Source organism: Homo sapiens, chromosome 11 (assembly GCF_000001405.40).
Source record: "Homo sapiens chromosome 11, GRCh38.p14 Primary Assembly".
In the NCBI taxonomy this organism is placed as follows: domain Eukaryota; kingdom Metazoa; phylum Chordata; class Mammalia; order Primates; family Hominidae; genus Homo; species Homo sapiens.
The window spans coordinates 69,931,751-69,938,256 of NC_000011.10; the positions used below are offsets into that span (position 1 = coordinate 69,931,751).

The 6,506-nt window shown below is 43.0% G+C and overlaps 1 annotated feature.

Annotated features, from left to right (window-relative positions):
• Window positions 363-1,339: an enhancer, noted in NCBI's record as "NANOG-H3K4me1 hESC enhancer chr11:69778215-69779191 (GRCh37/hg19 assembly coordinates)". NCBI's record gives its function as "activates a minimal SCP1, AML or CMV promoter by ChIP-STARR-seq in primed H9 embryonic stem cells {active_cell/tissue: H9 hESC(primed)}" and the evidence as "EXISTENCE:reporter gene assay evidence [ECO:0000049][PMID:30033119]".

A 6,506-nucleotide genomic window follows, 5' to 3' on the forward strand; every position in this document is an offset into this window, starting at 1 on the left:
TAGGGATCAAGGTCACCTGGTGGAGATGCCCCCTCCCCATCCACCTCTTGGCTTCTCACGTCACAACTCCATGTGTGTTTAGGGCCTCACTCACTTGTGGAAAGGACCCTGATGAGGCTGTGGTGGCCAGGTCCCTCCTCTCCCAAGTGGCTTGAAGTCCAAGTGACTGGGGTGCCCACTGGGGTCCCCCCCATTTCCATCTGATTCTATTTCCTAGAAGAAACAATGTGCACGACAGCCAAAGAAGACAAACAACCACAAAATCAGAAATGTGTTGTTTCTGCTGGATTTTTTCTTCTCTTAGAATTTTAGGGGAAGGAGGGCTACCGGCCACCGGTCTCCCCAGGTGAGCACCCTGGGTCCAGGCACCTTGTCCAGGCCATATCAGAGCCAGCCAGACCCTCCAGTGGCTTTCCCAGCAGCAGACTGCTGCTCCCTAGCCTCTGCCAGCAGGGCCAGCGGGGGTCCTGGCCCTTCGAGGCTCTTTCAGTAACATTTGCCTGCAGCTCTTAGAGCCCCATTCCTTTCTCTCTCATGTAAGATCTTGTTGAGGTCTGATCTGGGGTTTTAGGGCAGAGTTGAGAGACTGAATCAACATTTCAACCTGTCTTCAGTTTTGTAACTTCACCTGATCCCTGTGATCCTGGGAAGGGGTGTTTAAGGCAATAAATGGCAAAATGCAAGCCATGCAATTTGATCCCAAAGCCCTGCTGACTCTAAGCAGCTCTTCAACTCATTCCTCCACGGTACACCCCTCCCAGCCCCAGCTTCTCTACCTCCCAGGCCGCTGCAGCCAGGCCGGTGCCCGCCACCTGCATTCCCACCCCTTCCAGTCCATTCTCCACCTGCAGCTGGAAGCATTAGGGCCTCGCCTGGGCCTGCCAAGGGCTGGATGCAAAGACAGGCTCTGACAGAGAAGAGGATTTTGGGGGAGGAAGCAGGAGAACATGAAAGAGGCTTCAGGCCACAATGAAGAGGCGACCCGCATGGAAGGAGAGAAGGAAGGAAACAGAAGTGGACAGGAGGAGTCTCAAACTGCAGTGCTGTTCCACTAAGGTTCAGCCCTGCTGACTCTTTCAAGGGGGAAAAAAAAGCAGCTAAACTGGCTGAAGTAATCAAGAGGAAAAGGGGATAAATGCATACACAGGCATACACAGAGTAAGAGAATACAAATAGAGAGATAGCAACAGACACAGAGAGATAAGAGCATCACAAGAGAATGCTTTGATCGGCTCTATGCAAATAAGTTTGTAAACTCAGATGAAACCAGTTCTTCCTGGAAAAAAAAAGAAGTAAGTCATAAAACTTAACTCTAGAAGAGACAGAAAAAAGAACAACTCCATCACCATTAAAAAAAAAAAAAAGTTCTTAATCCCCCTATCCCAGGCCGAAACATCACCAGGCCAGTAATTTCACATGGGAGTTCCATTGTCATTTGAGAGAACAGGAGATTTTAATACCATGTAAGCTGTTTCAAGGCATGGAAAAAGTAGAAGAGTTTCAAAAGTCTTTAGAAAAAGCTAGTGTAACACTGATACCAAATTCAATAAAGAGAGGACAAAAAGTTTTAAAAGGACCAACCAATCTCTTAAGAAAATTACAAATTTCTAAAATAAAATATTACTAAATACTACAGAGTGATCGATAGATGTAGGAAAAGCATTGAACATAATCTAACATGCTTTCATGATAAGATATTCAGAATCAATAAACCAGGAGCAGAAGAGAACTTCCTCAACCTGATAAGAGCCATCTATGAAATTCGTATCTAACATCGTACTTAATGAAAAAAGAACAAACGCCTTCCTCCTAAAATCAAGAACAAGACAAGGATGTCTGCTCTCACCCTTCCATTCAACATTGTACTGGAAGTTCTAGCCAGGGCGATTAGGCAAGACAATGAAATAAAAGACATCCAGATTGGAAAGGAAGTAAAAACTGTCTGTATTTGCAGATGACATGATCTTTTATGCAGAAAATCCTAAGAAACCCACTGAAAAAACTCTTCAAACTAATAAATGAGTCCATCAATGTAGCTGGAAGCAAGATCAATGTACAAAAATTAATTGTATTTCTACACACTGGCAGTGAACTATCTATCTAAAAATAACATTAAAAAAATCCCAGCATGTGAGGCAAGGTATAGGCAAATTAGCTTGATTTAGCCATTCCACAATGTATCCATATTTCAAAACATCTTGTTGTGTACCATAAATATACACAATTTTGTTTGTCAACTTACACAATAATAAAAAAATCCAATGGAAAAAAAGAAAAAGAAAACAACCCCATTTGTAATAGCAGCAAAAAGAATAAAACACTCAAGAATAAACTTAAACAAATACAGTACTTGTACATTAAAAACTGCAAAACATTATTGAAATGAAAGAAATAAAAGATTACAATGAATGAAAAGATATTGCTTGTTCCTGCTCATAAAATATCATTGCTGAGAAGGCGATACTCCTCAAATTGATCTTCAAATTCAAAGCAATCTCTATCAAAATCCAAGTTGAGTTTTTTGTTGTTGCAGAAATTGCCAAGGTGATCTTTTCTTTCTTTCTTTCTTTCTTTCTTTTTTTTTTTTTTTTGAGACAGAGTTTCACTCTGTCACCCAGGCTGAATTACAGTGGCATGATCTCAGCTCACTGCAACCTCCACCACCCGGGTTCAAGCGATTATCCTGCTTCAGCCTCCCGAGTAGCTGGGATTACAGGTACCTGCCACCACACCCAGCTAATTTTTGTATTTTTAGTAGAGATGGAGTTTCACCATGTTGGCCAGGCTGGTCTCGAACTCCTGACCTCATGTGATCCATCCACCTCGGCCTCCCAAAGTGCTGGGATTACAGGCGTGAGCCACTGCACCCGGCCATGATTCTAATAGTCATATGGACCCAGAGTAACCAAAGTGATCTTGAAAAAGAAAATGTTGGGGGGCCACACTTCCAACGGTTCCCTCTCCACAGGGGACAGATATAGCAGTGGGGTTGGCCAGGTGCTGGATGATGCCCACAGTTAACAGGACAAAGGAGGACGCATTGATTCTGGAATGGGGAATCTATTCCCACACAAGGCAGCAAGCCCAGGGCTGACTGTGAGGACTTGACTAGAACATTGAACTTGCTACAAGCTGCAGTAACCAAGACTGGCACCGGCATGAAGATGGACATAGAGGAATAGAACAAAATAGAGTCAGAAATAAACCCTCAGATTGACAGCCAGTTGATTTCTGACAAGGGCACCAAGGCCGTTCGTCAAGCAGGTGGGAGCTGTTGTTCGTCACCAGGTGCAGAGGTCGGAGCGCTGCTGCTGGCTGCATCTTGGTATCAGAGTCACCAAGAAAATCACAAGGCAGTCAGGCACTGGAGGGAAAACATTTCACTCACATGGAAAAGGGATGGAACAAGACCGGTCAGTGGTAGGCATTGGCCCCTCGTGGCCCAGTGGGTCCCTCTCAGCAGCCAATGCAGGGCAGTCGGCCTGCAGGCACCTTTCTTGTGCTGGGGTAGAAGGACCTGGTTCCCTCTCCACAGGGGACAGAAGGGGTTGGCCAGGTGCCAGATGATTCACACAGTTAGCAGGACAAAGGAGGACGCATTGATTCTGGAATGAGGAATCTATTCCCACACAAGCGGCAAGGCCAGCGCTGACTGTGAGGACTCGACTACTTGATGAGAAAGTGTGCCAGGCCCACAGCCCTTTCTTAGGTGGCTGGGCCTGGTCAGACTGCATGCAGAGACTGCCTTCCTGACACGATGTAATGAGGGAGGGACGGCTCTCCAACAAATGATGCTCAACAATCGGACATCCACGTGCAAAAGAAGGAAGCTGGACCCCTTCCTTAGATCACAGACCTAAATATAAAGGTTGAAATTACAAAACTCCTATAAGAAAATCTAAGAGTAGGCTAGGCGGGGTGGCCACGCCTGTAATCCCAGCACTTTGGGAGGATCACTTGAGGTCAGGAGTTCGAGACCAGCCTGGGCAACATGGTGAAACCCTGTCTCTACTAAAAATACAAAAATTAGCCAGGCGTGGTGGCGCATACCTGTAATCCCAGCTACTCTGGAGGCTGAGGCACAAGAATTGCTTGAATTCGGGAGGTGGAGTTTGCAGTGAGCTGAGATCATGCCACTGCATTCCAGCCTGGGTGACAGAGCAAGACTCTGTGTCAAAAAAGAAAGAGAAAGAAAGAAAGAAAGAAAGAAAGAAGGAAGGAAGGAAGGAAGGAAGGAAGGAAGGAAGGAAGGAAGCAAGGAAGGAAGGAAAGAAAGAAAGAAAAAGAAAGAAAGAAAGAAAGAAAGAAAGAAAAGAAAGAAAGAAAGAAAGAGGGAGGGAGAAAGAAAGAGAGAAGAAAGAAAGAGAAAGAAAGAAAGAGAGAAAGAAAAGAAAGAAAGGAGGAAGGAAGAAAGAGAAAGAAAAGAAAGAAAAAAAGAGAAAGAAAGGGAAAATCTAAGAGTAAATCTTGATCTAGGAAAGCCTTCTTAGATACAACAGCAAAAGCACAAGTAGGAAAACACAAACAGATAAATTGGACTTCATCAAAATTAAAAACTTTTGTGCTGCAAACAATATCATCAAGAAAGTGAAAACACACCCTACAGAGTGGGAGAACAAAATGTTAAGTCATATATCTGATAAGGGAGTCATTTCTAGAATATACAAAGATCTCTTACACCTCAACAATAAAAAGATAAATCATCCAACCTAGAAATGGGCAATTGAAGAGACATTATATTTGAATAGACATTTCTCCTAAGAAGATATACAAAATGCCAGTAAGCACATTATAGATGTCTAACATCATGAGTTTTTACAGAAATGCAAGTCAAAACCGCAATGAGATGATACCACTTCACACCCACTAGGATGGCTTAAATTAAAAAGACAGACAATAGCAAGTGTTGGCAAAGATGTAGAGATATTAGAACCCCCATTCATTGCTGGTGGGAATGGAAAATGATGCAGCCACTTTTTAAAACAGTTTGGCAATTCCTCAAAATGGTAAATGTAGAGTTACTATATGATCCAATAATTTTGATACCCAAGAGAAATGAAAACATATGACTACACAAAAACCTTTACATGAATATGCATAACAGCATTATTCATAATACTCCAAAAGCAGAAACAACCCAGATGTCTGTCAACTAATAAAGTGGAATATTATTCAGCCATGAAAAAAGCTGGAGTACTGATGACACGTTGCAACACGGATGAAGCTCAAAATCACTGGCTAAGCAAAAAGAAGCCAGTTACTGAAGAGCACAAATGGTGTAATTCCCTTTATTGCAGAATAGGCAAATCTGTAGAGGCAGAAAATAGATTGCATAAATGATTGCCTAGGGGTAGAGAAAGGGGAAGATGGGGAGTGACTATAAGGGCTATGGGGTGTGTTTTTGGGGTGATGAAATTGCCTAAAATTAGACTTTGGTCACTTTCTACAACTCTGTGAATGTGTACTTTAAATGGGTTAATTTTATAATATTTAAGTTATCACTCAATAAAGCCATAGAAAGAAAAGGAAAAAAAGGGTCAATTTTTCATATATATATATATATATATAAAATCCATGACACAAAAATGGATAAATTTGACTATACAAAAATTGTCATATATTAATGGCAAGGGATTCTGCAATGTCAAAAGAAAATAACTATATAAAATACAAGCCACTCGTAGCATAGATTGAGGGCTAATTTCTCTAATGAATAAGAGCTTTTATGAATTGATGAAACCAAGCGCCAGTGAATCTGGGGTAGGTTATGCAGCACTCACAAAACAGCCCGCAAATTGCAGTGGCTTAGAACTGCAAGGGTTTTTTCTGGCTTGGGGTACGTGTCTGTCTAGGGTTTGTGGACATTCTCTGCTCGTCAGGTACTCAGGGACCCCATCAAACGTTGCCAGTCCACCACACCAGGTAGAAAAGAAAGAGCTCCAAGGGCCTCCAACCGTCCATTAAATGTTCAACCTGGTAGTGAAACATTTGTAGTTACCCCATGTATATCTGTATCCCTAGGCAGCAAAGTTAATTGCAAACTTTTGAATTGTATATACATGGAAATATACCATGTGCTTTCTTCTTATTTTATTTCTTTTGAGACAAAGTCTTGCCCTGTTGCCCAGGCTGGAGTGCAGTGGCACCCTCAGCACACTGGAGTCTCCGCCTCCCAGGTTCAAGCGATTCTCCTGCCTCAGCCTCCTGAGTAGCTGGGACTACAGGTGCATGTCACCACACCTGGCTAATTTTTGTATTTTTAGTAGAGATGGGGTTTCACCATGTTGGCCAGGCTGGTCTCGAACTCCTGACTTCAGGTGATCCACCGGCCTTGGCCTCCCAAAGTGCTGGGATTACAGGCATGAACCACCATGCCCGGCCTACCAAGTGTTTTTTTCTGTTGTTTAGTTTTTTGTTTTGCTTTGTTTAACCTAACCCCCTGTTACCGACATTCATTCCAGTTGTGGCTGCACCAGTAATTCACTCATCGTCCTGGCTGCATAGTA